Source organism: Homo sapiens, chromosome 5 (assembly GCF_000001405.40).
Source record: "Homo sapiens chromosome 5, GRCh38.p14 Primary Assembly".
Classification (NCBI taxonomy): Eukaryota; Metazoa; Chordata; class Mammalia; order Primates; family Hominidae; genus Homo; species Homo sapiens.
In genome coordinates, this window is record NC_000005.10 from 37,618,274 (window position 1) to 37,634,733 (window position 16,460).

A 16,460-nucleotide genomic window follows, 5' to 3' on the forward strand; every position below is an offset into this window, starting at 1 on the left:
GAAGGATGTAATTTCACTTTGTCACTATTTAGTGACTTGAATTTAGTCAAAATATAAAGGTCAAAATGATGTATTTATTAAAAACAGCAAGATTTTATTTGTTTGTTTGTTTTGAGACAGAGACCTGCTCAGTTGCCCAGGCTGGAGTGCAGTGGCTCAGTTTCGGTTCACTGCAACCTCCGCCTCTGGGGTTCAAGTGATTCTCCTGCCTCAGCCTCCCAAGGAGCTGGGATTACCAGGTGCCCATCACCACGCCTGGCTAATTTTCATATTTTTAGTAGAGATGGGGTTTCATCATGTTGGCCAGGCTGGTCTCAAACTCCTGACCTCAAGTGATCCACCAGCTTTAGCCTTGACATAGGGAAAAGTGAAGGAGGAAGTGGGAAAAGGTTGAGGTGGGTGGATATATCAGATCAAATAGGGCTGTTTTGGCTATGTAGAGTTTGGATACTCTTCTGAGGTTAATGAGAAACCATTACATGGATTTTAGGAGAGGAGAGGATTGGCATTATTCAAGTTACATTTTTAAAAGAATCATTCTGGCTGTTCTGCATGGAGAATAACTACAAGAAGAGAAAGGTGGAAGCAGGGTGACTGGTTAGGGGCTATTTTAGACATAAAGGTAAATTCCTGGACAAGGGTTTTAGTGGTGAAGGTAATGTTTGGATTCTGAAGATTTTTTGAAGCCAGAGCTAACAAATGGATAATGTAAGGCTTATTTTTTACAGAATTTTAAATTATGCCTTTTTAAAAAAGAGTCAGGCAATGATATAAAATAGATAATTTAATTTGGAAAATGATTTTATAAAACGTATTTGCTCATTCCGTGTCATGGTGCCTTATTTTTTAATGGTTAATGGGCTCTTTGAAAGTGAAGAATTTGGGTTGCATGAAATAGGGGAAGCATGTTTTGAATTTGTGTTATTCTAGCCAATTTTGATCAGTTAATTTTATTATTATCTGGTATCAATTGGCAATATGGAGTAAATGCTCCCTAATTCTTAAAAAAAAAAAAAAACTTTTGACATATTACAAAGCACAATTAGTCCTCTGTGGTTATCTAGATAGGGCTATGTCATCTAAAATGTTCAGACTCTCTGCAGGATGACTATAGTCTCTAAAAAGCCTATATAAGGGATGCCTCTCTCTAGTAGAGATATTTCCTGAGCCATGTTTCTCAGCATCAGGACAGCTATGATTTATTTTGTAAGTGGACAAGGCCAAACATTACTGTTTTAACTATTATAAACAAAATAGTAAATGTTAAATGTTCACTTAATAGAGCCTCTAGTAGGGCTTTTTATATACACAAAGTAAAGTCTGAGCCAAAAATGTGAAACAGTTCTCTGGTCTGTGTGCATTCTCTTTTAACCTACTCTTTGATTCATTGCAACTGGAGAAGTGATGCAACCAGTGATGATTTGCACTCCAAAGCTCTTGGTGCTGCAGTGAGTCCTCCCTGTTTGGTTTTTTTTTTGTTTTGTTTTGTTTTTTCTTCTACTAATTACCCAAGCCACAGTAATTTATCAAATTTCTTAAAACTTTTCAGAAATGTTTATTATAATATGTTAGATCCAAAATAAAGAGCTTTGCAAGATTCTGTTAAACCTCATCCTTTTATAATATTTTTAAATATTTACCAGGTTTTTTTTTTTTTTTTTTTTTAGCACAGATTCAAACCGGTAATAGCAAAATGATACAAAACTGTCTTAAAAATGTGGAATGCTTCACAAATTTGCATGTCATTCTTGCACAGGGGCCATGGTAATCTTCTCTGTGTCATTCCAATTTTAGTATATATGCTGCCGTGAACACAATATTTACCAGTCTTGTTCTTTATCATTTTTTATGGTTCTTAGCTTTAGCCAACAAAGTAATGCAAGGATCAAATCTTAATTCAGATATAATTTTAAAGATACTTCCCCAATTTTTTATAGTTAATTACAGAAAGAACTATTCTCATTGAGTGGTGTTTTCACTGAGTAATCTGTTTTTTGTTTGTTTTTTGCCGCTTTGTTGTTCTTTGCCATCAAGGTTTTGACCTGGGTGGTAAACACTGATGCTGCATTGATGCTCATGGGGCAGGGCGCTAAAGAGCAAATCACTCCATTTTTCAGGTAGTAACCCTGTTTTATTCTGAAAAACAGTTTTTATATGCTCTCTATTTGAAAATGTAGCAGAAAAGACCTATTATACTTGTCTTGTAAAGCTGTATTTTTTAATCACAGAAAATTACATTTTATATTGTGACTGACTATACACATATCTTTGCATGGACACACAGGCATATATGAAACTGAAAAAGGAGTTAACCATAGCAATTCCTATTGCAGTGTGCACTCCATTTTTTTTTGTATCCCGATTTGTTCCGTGTTTAAAGTACTGATCATAACCTATTAAATTGTTTTTATGACCCACTAATGAGTTAGAATCCAGAGTTTGAAAAAACACTTCTAAAGCATGCCTCAAATATAATTTGATCTTTTCAGAGGCCTTGTGAGATAGGCAAGGCTAATATTAACCCTTTTCAAACATAGCTAAAGCCTACGCTTTGAAAACAGAAGTTGGACTAAAGAAATGAAAACAGAAAAAATGGTTTGGGGTGTTGAATGAGCAGAGGTCATCATGAACACAGTGTACACTTGAATGGTGATGGAGAGGAAGAGGGGCTGCAGAGATTTAGAACAGGAAGCAGATGGATGTACAAGATATTTTGTTTGCCTCAGGATTTTTGCCTAAGCCCTTGAAGACATCTGGTATGCCACTAGAAATCACCTGAAGCTAAAATTTACCAGATTGTTGGTATCTTGAAAAGCTACCAAAATTAGTTTGCAAGGCTCTACCCATCAGCTTCTTACAGTCTGCCTCTAGAAATCTCATCTATACCAATCCAGTCCAATTTCTCGAGGTAAGTCTGTTTCCCAAAATTCACTTATTTGCATACTACTTTTATAATTCTTGTCATATGTATACATCACCATATTGTTTTTTAAATTGTTAGAAATGATTTTATTTAAATATTCCAAATAATTAAAAAATTTGAGATTAACTTCAGACAACGTAACATTAATCATTTAAAGCATACAGTCGTTGATATTTAGTGTATTCACAGTGTTGCAACCACCAATTCTCTAGTTTCAAAAGTGTTTCATCACCCGATAAAGACACCCCATACCTATTAAGTAATCATTCCTCATTCTCCCATTTATAAAAGACACATTCTCATGTGTCATTTGGCTGCATAAATGTCATCTTTTGAGAAGTGTCTGTTCATATGCTTTGCCCACTTTTTGTTGGGGTTGTTTGTTTTTTTCTTGTAAATTTGTTTGAGTTCATTGTAGATTCTGGATATTAGCCCTTTGTTAGATGAGTAGATTGCAAAAATTTTCTCCCATTCTGTAGGTTGCCTGTTCACTCTGATGGTGTTTCTTTTGCTGTGCAGAAGCTCTTTAGTTTAATTTAGATCCCATTTGTCAATTTTGGCTTTTGTTGCCATTACTTTTGGTGTTTTAGCCATGAAGTCCTTGCCCATGCCTATGTCCTGAATGGTATTGCCTAGGTTTTCTTCTAGGGTTTTTATGGTTTTAGGTCTAACACTTAAGTCTTTAATCTATCTTGAATTAATTTTTGTATAAGGTGTAAGGAAGGGATCCAGTTTCAGCTTTCTACATATGGCTAGCCAGTTTTCCCAGCACCATTTATTAAATAGGGAATAGTTTCCCCATTTCTTGTTTTTGTCAGGTTTGTCAAAGATCAGATGGTTGTAGATATGCGGCATTATTTCTGCGGGCTCTGTTCTGTTCCATTGGTCTATATCTCTGTTTTGGTACCAGTACCATGCTGTTTTGGTTACTGTAGCCAAAACAGCGGCTCATCATCACTGGCCATCAGAGAAATGCAAATCGAAACCACAATGAGATACCATCTCTCACCAGTTAGAATGGCCATCATTAAAAAGTCAGGAAACAACAGGTGCTGGAGAGGATGTGGAGAAATAGGAACACTTTTACACTGTTGGTGGGACTGTAAACTAGTTCAACCATTGTGGAAGTCAGTGTGGCGATTCCTCAGGGATCTAGAACTAGAAATACCATTTGACCCAGCCATCCCATTACTGGGTATATACCCAAAGGATTATAAATCATGCTGCTATAAAGACACATGCACACGTATGTTTATTGCAGCACTATTCACAATAGCAAAGACTTGGAACCAAGCCAAATGTCCAACAATGATAGACTAGATTAAGAAAATGTGGCACATATACACCATGGAATACTATGCAGCCTTAAAAAGGGTGAGTTCATGTCCTTTGTAGGGACATGGATGAAGCTGGAAATCATCATTCTCAGCAAACTATAGCAAGGACAAAAAACCAAACACCGCATGTTCTCACTCATAGGTGGGAATTGAACAGTGAGAACACATGGACACAGGAAGGGGAACATCACACACTGGGGCCTGTTGTGGGGTGGGGGGAGCGGGGAGGGATAGCATTAGGAGATATACCTAATGTTAAATGACGAGTTACTGGGTGCAGCACACCAACATGGCACATGTATACGTATGTAACTAACCTGCACGTTGTGCACATGTACCCTAAAACTTAATGTATAATAATAAAAAAAGAAACATTCTAACCTGTCAAAAATGTAAAAAACCAATGTGATTCTAAATAGAATATAGCAAATTCTGAAAATAAAATAAAACAATCATTAGCCAGATACTAGCTAGATACTGTTATCTACCAAGTCTCTGTGTCTTAGATTCTTCCATGTTAAAAAGGGATATAGGCAAAAGTTATGGCGGTATTAAAGACCAATCAATGCTAAATCAAGACTTTCTGCTTGGTAATACTGAAAGAATTGAAGGAAATTTCAAAAATATACCTTTCTCACTATGAGATTCACTGCTATTTAATGTTATTTCCTTTACCATCTAAAATTTGTCTTGATACAGCTGAATTCATCCTTTTCTTCACTTTACTATTAAAGGGGTTGTATATTATTCCCAGAGTCCTTTATAACTGAATTCCTGGAATTCAGGGAGTGTGTTCTAAATATTGGTGATTGCAGTTTTCATTATTATCCTCAAACATATAAAATCCATTATTCACCAAGTAGTAAACTAGATGCTTTCAGAGTTTTAAAGAAAAGATACAGATACTACTTCCAAATAATATAAATCTTTGTTGTGAAAATCAATTTATGCACAATTAACACTTAGAATATAAAGCTGATAATAGTAAATAGACAAGTAGATTTTATTCTAAAAGTTATCTGGTTTAAATTATTTGGAACTTTTATACTATTTCATAGAGCTCAAGTTAATACCAGCTATTATGAGTATTCCAGATTAGCACAATATGGCTTATCTTCTTATGATCTTCTTTAAGTTCTCCAGGGGTGGTTCTGGTATGATAAAAATAGTACTTTGCATCACAAACTTCAGTTTCCTCATCTGAACAATAAACTTCATCTCTACCTAGTTATAGAGTTCAAATAAGATAAACTGTGTAAGTACACAGCACAGTCCCTGGTACTTTGTTGAAGGTCAATAAAGTATACATTTATTTATTCAGTTACTCATATTTGTAGCCATTTAAAAATTTTTTAATTGACAAGTAATAATTATACATATCCATGGCATACATAGTGACGAATTGATCCTTTCCTTCACTTCACTGTTACGTTTTATTTGATACATATAATGTATAGTGATCAAATCAGGGTAAGTAACATTCATCATCTCAAACATTTATTATTTCTTTGTGTTGGGAATTTTCAGTATCGTCATTCCAGCTATTTGAAAGTATATAATATTTATTGTTAACTATAGTCATTCTGATGTGGTACAGAACACTAGAACTTATTTCTCCTGTCTAGCTATAATTTTGTTTATCTGTTAACAAATCTCTTTCTAACCCTCCCTTCCCTCTACCCTTCTCAGCCTCTAGTATTCTCTGTTTTACTTTTTACTTCTATGAGATCAACTGTTTTTCTCTCACATGAGTGAGAACATGTGGAGTTTAACTTTCTGTTCGCAGCTTATTTCACTTACCTTCCACTTCAATCCATGTTACTGTGAATGGCAGGATTTCATTCTCTTTTATGACCGAGTAGTATTCCGTAGTGCATATATATATCACATTTAATTTATCTATTTATTATTGGATACCTAGGTTGATTCCATATTTTGGCTGTTGTGAATAGGGCAGCAGTACACATGGAAATACAGGTATCTTTTTGACACACTGATTTTCTTTCCTTTGGATACCGTAGGGGATAAGGGAGAGCTTTCCCTTGGTCCCCTGATGTTTTGCTGAAAAATCAACTCATAAAAGGCAGATTAATTAGAGAAAAGGCATACAGATTTATTTATCATGTATATATGGGAGCCTTCGGAATGAAGATCAAAAGATACAGGGGAAATTGTCCATTTTTATGCTGAGGTTCAACAAAGTATGGACAGTCATGTAGAAATATGATTGGACAAAAAGGGGTGATCTAATACTAATAGACTGGGGAAACTCAGGAGGGTCATCTGTTTAGATTCTTTTTGGGTTCTCTGAGTACGCATTCCTTCCTTCCGGGTATGGGACAAGACCCTCTCTAGAGTGGGACTGTTATAACCTACAGACAAACAATGTAGGTCAGATAATTCCTTTGTGGTCAGTTTTTACACTGAAAGCCAGAGGGAAAATTAGAATAATATTTATAGGATTTATGACTAGCTTTGAGGAATAGGGGTTCTGGTTTCTACGACCCACCTTGGGGACCAGGGCTTCTAGTTTCTATGGCTAGCTTCTGGGGAGAATGGGACAGAGAGACAGGAGGGCAGGAGAAAGAGAAAAATGTTTGCTTCAGAGGCTGCTTCTGAGGCTTTCATTTTGGGATATTGTTTTCTGAGCCCTAAAAAATGTATACTTAGTAGTAGCCTTGCTGGATCATGTGGTAGTTCCATTTGTAGTTTTTTGAGGAACTGTTCTCCATAATGGCTATACAAATTTACGTTCCCACCAATAGTGTATGAGTTCCCTTTTCTCCACATCCTTGTCAGCATTTGTTATTATTTTTTTCTTTTTGATAATAGTTATTCTAACTGGAATGAGATGTTATCTAGTTATAGTTTTGATTTGCACTTCCCTGATGGTTAGTGGTGTTCATGAGTATTTTTTCTTATACATGTTGACCATATGTATGTCGTCTTCTATCTGTTCAGATCATTTGCCCATATTTTTTGTTGTTGTTTTTATTTTTATTGTTTTTTGAGGCAGAGTGTCACTCTGTCACTTAGGCTGGAGTGCAGTGGTGTGATCTCAGCTCACTACAACCTCCAACTCCCGGGTTCAAGCAATTCTCCTGCCTCAGCCTCCTGAGTAGTTGGGATTACAGGTGCCCGCCACCATGCCTAGCTAATTTTTTTTTGTATTTTTAGTAGACATGTGGTTTCACCGTGTTGGCCAGGCTGGTCTTGAACTCCTGACCTCAAGTGATCTGCCCGCCTCAGCCTCCCAAAGTGCTAGAATTACAGGCTTGAGCCACCTCTCCCAGCCTGCCCATATTTTAATTGGATTTGTTTTTGTTTGTTTTTCTGTTCTTTGTATATTCTGGATATTAATCCCCTATTAGATGAGTAGTTCATTACTCATGTATAAAAAGGCTACTGATTTTTGTATATTAATTTTGTACCCTACAAATTTACTGAATTCTGTTATGGGTTCTAAGAGAGTTTTTTTTTTTTTTTGTAGTAAAGTCGGTATGTTTTTCCATATATAAGATCATGTCATCTGCAAACAGGGACATTTTGACTTCTCCCTTTCCGATTTGGATGCCTTTTATATATCTGTTGCCTAATTGCTCTGGTTAGGACTTCCATTAGTATGTTGAATAAGAATACTGAGATTGGGAGTCTTTGTCTTGTTCTAGTTCTTAGCTGAAAGCTTTTTATTGTTCATAAGATGTCATTTGTGGGTTTGCCATATTTGGCCATTATTATATTTAGGTATATTCCTTCTATACTTAATTTATTAAGAGTTTTTATCATGAAACGATGTTGAATTTTATCAAAAGCTATTTCTACATCTATTGAGATCATCTTGTGGTTTTCATCCTTCTTTCTGTTGATGTGTGTGATGTTTATTGATTTGTATATGTTGAGACATCCTTGCATTCCTGAGATAAATCCCACTTGATTATGATGTATCCTCTTACTGATGTGTTGTTAGAACTCAGCTTGTTAGTATTTTGGTGAAGATTTTTGCAACAGTGTTCATCAGGGATACTGGCTGTAGTTTTCCGCTTGTTGTCGTTGTTGTATCCTTATCTAGTTTTGGTATCAGGGTTCTGCTGGCCTTGTAGAATGAATTAGGAAGAATTCCCTCCTCTTTTATTTTCTGGGATAGTTTGGAAAGAATTGGTATTAATTCTTCTTTAAAGGTTTGGTAGAATTCAGCAGTAAAGCCGTCTGGTTTTGGACTTTTTTGTTGTTGAAAGACCTTTTACTACTGATTCTCTCTCATGACTTGTAATTGGTCTATTTGTGTTTTCTTTTCCTTCTGGGTTCAATCTTTATAGGTTGTATGTGTCCAGGAATTTATTCATTTCCTTTAAATTTTCAAATTTATTGGCATATTGTTGTTCATAGTACTCTCTAATGATCCTTTGTATTTCTATGGTGTCCATTGTGACATATCCTCTTCCGTTTATGATTTTTTCAAATTTGAGTCTCTTTTTTTCTTTTTTTCTGAGTTTCACTAACGTTTTGTTGATTTTGTTTATCTTCTCAAAGAACTAACTTTCTGTTTGATCTTTTGTGTATTTTTTAGTCTTTTTCTTTAGGGTCTCACTCTGTTGCCCAGGCTGGAGTGCAGTGGCTTGATCTTGGCTTATTGCAGCCTCAGCTTCCTGAGCTCAGGTGATCATCCTGCCTCTGCCACCTGAGTAGCTGGGACTACAGGTATGTGCCACCATGCCTGGCTAATTTCTGTATTTTTCTGTAGAGATGAAGTTTCACCGTGTTTCCCAGGAAACTTGAGAACGTTTCCATAGTTCTCAAACGTGTGGGCTCAAATGATCCTCCAACCTTGGCCTCCCAAAATGCTGGGATTACAGGCATGAGCTACCATGCCAGGCCTCAGTCTCAATTTTGTTTATTTATGCTCTGATTGTTTTTATTTCTTTTACTAATTTGGGGTTTGTTTGTTTTTTTTCTTCATTTTCTAGTTCTTTGAGGTGCATTGTTAGGTTTTTTATTTGAAATCTTTTTATTTTTTGGCATAGGCATGTATTACTATAAACTTGCCTCTTAATACTGCTTTTGCTGTGTGCCATAAGCTTTGGTACATCGTGTTTCTATTTCCATTTGTTTCAAGAAATTTTAAAATTTCATTCTTAATTTTGAGTTTAACCTGTTGGTTGTTTAGAAGCATTTTGTTTAGTTTCCATGTGTTGGTATAGTTTTGAATGTTCCTCTTGTTATGTCTAGTTTTATTTCATTGTGGCAAGATAAGATGCGTCATATCTTGATTTTTAAAAATTTATTGAGACTTGTTTTGTGCCCTAACATATGGTCAGTCCTGGAGAGTGTTCCATGTGCTGCTGAAAAGAATGAAGTTGTTAGGTGAAATATTCTGTAAATGTCTTTTAGGTCTGTGGTACAGTTTGTGTAGAAACAAGTTCTCACCCTGTCACCTTGGCTGGAGTGCAGTGGCGTGATCATAGTTCACTGCAGCCTTGAATTCCTGGGCTCAAACGATACTCCTTCCTCAGCCTCCTTAGTAGCTAGGACTATAGGCACATGACATCACAGCCAGCTTATTTTTTATTTTTTGTAGAGACAGAGTTTCACTACATTGCCCAGGGTTGTCTCAAATTCCTGGCCTCAAGTGATCCTCTGCCTTGGCCTCTCAAAGTGTTGGGTTTACAGGCATAAGCCTCCATTTCTGGCCTGTGGTGCAGTTTAAATCTATGTTCCTTTGTTGATTTTCTGCCTACATGACCTTTCCAGTGCTGAGAGTGGGGTGAAATTCCCTACTACATATTGAAGTGTTCCCCACTATGTACTGAAGCCCATTTCTCCCTTTAGATCTAATAATGTTTGCTTTATATATCTGGGTGCTCCTGTGTTGGATGCAAATATATTTACAATTGTTATATTCTCTTGCTGAATTGATCCTTTTATTATTATATAACGTACTTTTTTGTCACTTTATAGCTTTTAACTTGAAGTCTATTTTGTCTGACATAAGCATAGCTACTCCTGCTCACTTGATTTTCATGTGCATGTAATACTTTCAGTTTAAGTGTGTCTTTATAGCTGAGGTGAGATTCTTATAGGCAGAATATGTTTGGGTCTTGTTTTTTCATTCATTCAAATAGTGTATATGTTTTAAATGGGGGAATTTAATCCACTTACATTCAAGATTATTGATAGGTGAGGACTTACTCCTTTCATTTTGTTGATTTTCTGGTTATTTTGCATATCCTTTGTTCCTTATTCCCTTACTTATCATTTTTATGGTTAGGTGGTTTTCTCTAGTGGTAAGGATTGATTATTTTCTCTTCTTACTTTTGTATCAGCTCTACCAGTGAGTTTTATAGTTATACATGTTTTCATGATGGTAGCTGTTGTCTTTTCACTTCCAGATGTAAGACTCCCTTGAGCATGTCTTGTAAGACTGTTCTAGTGGTGATAAATTCCTTTAGTTTTTGCTTCTCTATTGGGAGATTTTATTTCTCCTTCATTTCTGAAGGATAGCTTTGCAGGGTATAATATTTTTAGCTAGCAGGGTTTCCCCACCCCTGCTTTCAGTACTTTGAATATATCATCCCATTCTCTCCTGGCCTGTAAGCTTTCTGCTGAGATATCTGCTGTTAGCCTAATGGAGATTCCCTTATTTATGACTTGACTCTTTTCTCTTGAATGCTTTTGGAATTCTTTGTCTTTTACTTATTACAATTTGACTATGTTGGGCTCCAGAGAGGACCTGTTTGGGTTGAATCTGTTTGGGGTTCTTTGAGCTCCCTGGACCTAAATGCTCATCTCTCTCCCAAGACTCAGGAAATTTTCTGCTATTATTTCATTAAATATGATTTCCTCACCTTTACCCTTCTTTTTTCCATCTGGAATGCCCATAGTATGAATATTTGCTTGCTTAATGATATCTCATAAATCCTTTAGGCTTTCCTTATTCTTTTTAATTCATTTTTGCCACTGCTTGTGTTATTTCAAAAGATCTATCTTCAAGTTCAGAAATTTTTTCCTCCATTTGGTATAGTCTGTTGTTGAAGCTCTCAATTATATTTTCTATTTCATTCATTTAATTCTCAGCTCTAGGATTTCTTTTTGGTTCTTTTTTATGATAATCCACCTCTTTCTTGAATTTATTACTTATATCATAAGTTGTTTTCCTGATTTTGTTGAATTGTTTATCTGTATTCTCTTGTATCTCACTCAGTTTCCTTAAGATTATTATTTTGAATTCTTTTTCTGGCATTGCATGTATTATGATTGTGGTCTGTTACTAGAGAATTATGTTTCTCTTTGGAAGTGACATGCTTCCTCGCTTTTTCATTATTCTGTGTCTCTGTATTAATTTCTGTGAATCTGGTGGTCGCCTCTTCCAATTTTATTCACTAGGTGTCACAAGGAAAGACTTACTCATATAAATGGATCTTGGGTTGTTGATTTGATGGAGTGCATTGGCTTTGGATCTAGGTGGACACAGTAGTGTAGTTGTCATAAAATTTCTTCAACCGTAATCCATACTGGGGGCATTTGAGAGTTTCTCAGTGGCCTAGGCTGAGAGAGTTTGTGGTGACAGTAGTGCAGCTTTGCCAGGCTTGGGCTAACTGGGCTGTCTCTTAGGTTGGGCATTTGTTCATGCACACAGTGGGTCAGGCAGCTTGGAGTCTGGCTCACTGGGGTTGTAGCCACAGGGATGTTACTCTAGCCAGGAGCACAGGCATGCTTGTAGTTGCTTGGCTAGACTAAGGCATGTCTGCTGGGGATGGCTCATAGGGCTGTTTCTCAGCCATGTATTTAGGCTCATGGCTGCTTCAACAGTCTGCAATGTTTCCACCAGGGGTGGCCTACAGCATTGTTTCTCAGACCCTTGTTGAGGATGTGAGGGGGTTGGGCAGGACATGTCTTGGGAGGGAAGAGGGCACTGTGTTTCTGAATCCCTGAGTGTGGGCACTTAGCCACTCCACTGGCCCAGGGCTATGTCAGCTGCTTGCAGACTTGTAGGCCTCTCCCACCTGGCAGAGGGCATGCAGTGGTTTGGCTAGCCCAAGGATGGATTTGTCCTAGGCAGGACTGGTAGGCTTTTAGTGCAATTGGGAGTGTGGCCCCAGGAGTTGGTTACCTGCTGTGTAGGACCATAGTCACAGCCAATCCTGGGCCCATACTCTGCACAGCTGGGATTGTGACATTCATATATAATGTATGGACTTGGCATAATCAATATGAAACCCCAGTGCTGGAGAAGTGCAGTAGGGCTACTGGCTCCCTGAGCAAGGAGCATTCCAGAGGTGCCTCAGGTAACAAGATGGCACTCTGCTGCAGTAGCTTGTCTCACAGGGGAGAGGGTGCACCTTGTGCTCCTAATCTGGAGCAGTGAAACTGCATGAATTCCTGGCATTTCTCCAGATGGAGCTGAGAGCTTGTAAGGACCATGGGATTCTTCTGTTTGAAGGACTGTAGGCATTTGTGGTGGCAATGGGGGTTGGTGGTGATATTCTGCTTACCTTTTTCCCATGATGGAAAGTTCCCTCCGACGCCAGGCAGATCTGATCCAGGTCGGGGAGATGGGGTTATAGAGGCTATGTGCTTCCATGCTGCCCTCCTGTCATTACAGATGCATCTTCACTCCCTTGCCACACTGCAGCACTCTATCTTCAACACTCAAATCAAATCTTAGTTGTTTATTTGTAGCCTTGGTCCTTTTTAGTCTGGGGGGACAAATGCCAGGCATCTCTAGTTAGCCTTCTTGCCTACCTTCATAGTCTTGTAAATATGTTATAGAACTAAATCAACAGAGTTTGCCCAATGAAGGCAGTTAGCTTTATTGTAATTTGATATATAGAGCTTGACCAGATAATTCATCTCCTTCTCGCTGCTATTTACCTCACCGTTAGTAACAATAGTGGTGATAACAATATTAGTGATAGTAGTAATAATAATTATTTTAATAACTGCTAACATTGTGTACCCACTGTGTACCAGGAATTGTTATTAATGCTTTTCAATGTACTAGCTCATTTTATAGTTATATGAGGTTAGTGTTTTTATCCCTGTTTTAAGGATGAGTTAACTAAGATTCAGTAATTTACCTAAGGACATACAGTAAGAGGCAGGTAGATCTGGGATTTGACTCTAGGCAGTCTGGCTCCAGGGTCTGTACTTTTAACCAACATCTCTAGGGCCTCTCAGTGTGTGGGATCCCATTCATCCAGCCTAAGTGAAGGGCCATCTGAAAGGTAGTGACTCTAGAGGGCTCATTTTCCTCTACGGGTTGTTTCAAAGCCAGGGAATGTATATTATCACGGGTGAAATTGTCTGTTGGAGGATCTGTCTCATATAGAAAAATCCTACTACTTATCTGTGCACCCACAGAGTACCAGCAGAGCCGGGTGAGTGGGGAGGAGAGCCAGGAGAGGCAGAGGGGACATACTGCAAAGATAATCTCCTGGTCCCCTCTGTTACAGTTAATAAGGATCAAAACGGAATACAAGTTGGAGAGGTCAGTTTAGACTCAAGTACAGTCATGCACCACCTAACATTTCAGTTAATGACAGTCTGTGTATGCGGTGGTGCTCCCATAAGATTAGTATGTAGCTGAAAAATTTATATTACCTGGTGATGTCATAGCCATCTTAACATTACAGCACAATGTGTTACTCGTGTTTGTAGTGATGCTGGTATAAACAAACCTATTATGCTGCCAGTAGTATAAAAGTAGAGCAGATACAGTTATGTATAGTACAAAATACTTGATAATAAATGACTTACTGGTTTATGTATATACTATACTATACCTTTAGTGTATTTTAGAGTCTACTTCTACTTATTTAAAAAAGCAGTTGACTGTAAAACATCCTCAGGTTCTTCAGGAAATATTCCAGAAGAAGGCATTTTTATCATAGGAGATGACAGTTCCATGTGTGTTATTACCTCTGAACACCTTTCAGTGGGTTGATATATAATGGTGGAAGACACTGATATTGATGATCCTGACCCTGTGTAGGTCTAGGCTAACATGTGTGTTTGTGTCTTAGTTTTTAACAAAAAAGTTTTAAAAGTTAAAAATTTTTAATAGACAAAAGTTTATAGAGTAAGGATATAAAGAAAGAAAATATTTTGTATAGCTATACAATGTGTGTTTTATGTGTTATTATAAAAGTTTTAAAAAATTAAAAGTTGATATACTCAAAAAGTTACAGTAAGCTACAGTTAATTTATTATTGAAGAAAGAAAAACACTTTTAATAATTTTAGTATAGCCTAAGCTTACTGCATTTATAAAGTGTACAATAGTGTACAGTAATGTCCTAGACCTTCACATTCACTAACTACTCAGTCACTAATTCACCCACAGCAACTTCTAGTCCAGCAAGCACCATTCGTGGTAAGTGCCCTATACAGGGATACCATTTTTTACTTTTTATACCATGTCTTTACTATACCTTTTCTGTGTGTAGATATGTTTAGATACACAAATATTGACCATGGTGTTACAGTTGCCTGTAGTACTCAGTATAGTAATATTCTGTACAGGTTTGTAGCCTAGGAGCAATAGGCTATTCCATGTAAGTCTTACCATCTATGTTTGTATAAGTACACTCTGTGATGTTCACATAATGAGGAAATCATCTAACGAACACATTTCTCAGAACTTATTCTCATTGTTTAGTGACCCATGACTGTAATTAGGCAAGGAGTGACTACCAGAGTTTTTTCCCCTTCACTATATTTCCAAATGCTATCTCTTAAATTGACTAGATTAGAAGTACTTCAGAATTTTATATCTGTTTCCCTTAAGGAAAATAATATGTCAAGCCCATGTACATTGAAGGAAATAATTTATTCTATACTATATTTATGTATTATATATTTTATTACCGAGATAGTGAGTCAAGATTATAGAAATGGTGTAAAATTAAAACATTTTGCTGAGTTTAAACGGCCATAACTTAAATGGAATTTTTTTGACATTCACTAGATCTAGTAGCCAGATGATATCTTACTATTTTAATTTTTAAACTTAGGAGGTTTGCCTATAAACCATTTATTAGCAGAGGAAGCTTTCTAAATGCTGTGAGTTAAAACATATGGAGATTCTAAAGATACTTGAATGGAGCTTGAATGTCTTCCCACACATGAAATATGTGTCGCAAAGAGGAAAATATATTTTAGACATTTCACTGAATCGTAGTTTGAAGTTAACAGCAAAATACATGATAGGCATTATTTTTATATTGATAAATTAAGAATACTTTGGTTAAACAAGATACATACAGTAAGCCAAAAACAAAGCATTCCCTACTATATTCCTAAATCTACATGCTTACACAGTAGTCCTCTTATATAAACCTGAAACATATAGGGCTGTGTGTATGTTCAAGTTTGATAGTGATCGCCAGTTTGTGTGGAGTTCCCCATTTATAAAGATAGACTTGGACCAAGTGATTCTATCTTATTCTACAGGAGAGTATTTTTCAATATTTTAAAAACTAGTACATATGGCCAGGTGTGGTGGCTCACACCTGTAATCCCAGCACTTTGGGAGGTCTTGGTGAGCGCATCACGAGGTCAGGAGATGGAGACCATCCTGGCTAACACGGTGAAACCCCATCTCTACTAAAAATACAAAAAATTAGCTGGACGTGGTGGCAGGTGCCTGTAGTCCCAGCTACTCGGGAGGCTGAGCCAGGAGAATGGTGTGAACCCAGGTGGCGGAGCTTGTAGTGAGCTGAGATTGCATCACTGCACTCCAGCCTGGGCGACAGTGTGGGACCCTGTCTCAAAAAAAAAAAAAGAAAAAAAAGAAAAAAAAAAACCTAGTGCATATTTTGTGTTTCCTAATTATCTAAGAAGACTTTATTAAGCTTTGCTTGCTGTACTCTGTATGTTACAAAAACAGTGGATAGATTGAATATACTTTTTCAAATGCATCTCTAACCTTACCTCACACATCTCTAACCTTACCTCTTTTGGTGGCATTGGAGTGGCGTGATATGGAGAGGGAAGTCTATGATCAGACTTACATTTTTTAGAAATGACTTTGTTCTATAAGGAAGACAGATTGGAGGAAATAAGGCAATAGGCAGGAGGTCAGTTCAGAGATACTGAGTGAGTCCAGTCTTAAGTGAGATGATGAGAACCTCAACCAAGTATGTGGAGTGAGAATGGAGAACAGAGTGTACTAAAGTGATATTAGGATGTAGGACACCTACACAA

The 16,460-nt window shown here is 37.0% G+C and overlaps 1 protein-coding gene and 1 pseudogene across 5 annotated transcripts in view, besides 1 other annotated feature; one reads left to right on the forward strand and one right to left on the reverse strand.

Annotated features, from left to right (window-relative positions):
• Window positions 1–16,460, forward strand: part of WDR70 (WD repeat domain 70) — a 374,118-nt gene that overhangs the window by 238,956 nt on the left and 118,702 nt on the right. The window lies entirely within an intron of this gene.
• RNU6-1190P (RNA, U6 small nuclear 1190, pseudogene) lies at window positions 1,712–1,815 on the reverse strand (annotated as a pseudogene).
• Window positions 12,072–12,572: an enhancer, noted in NCBI's record as "H3K27ac hESC enhancer chr5:37630447-37630947 (GRCh37/hg19 assembly coordinates)". NCBI's record gives its function as "activates a minimal SCP1, AML or CMV promoter by ChIP-STARR-seq in primed H9 embryonic stem cells {active_cell/tissue: H9 hESC(primed)}" and the evidence as "EXISTENCE:reporter gene assay evidence [ECO:0000049][PMID:30033119]".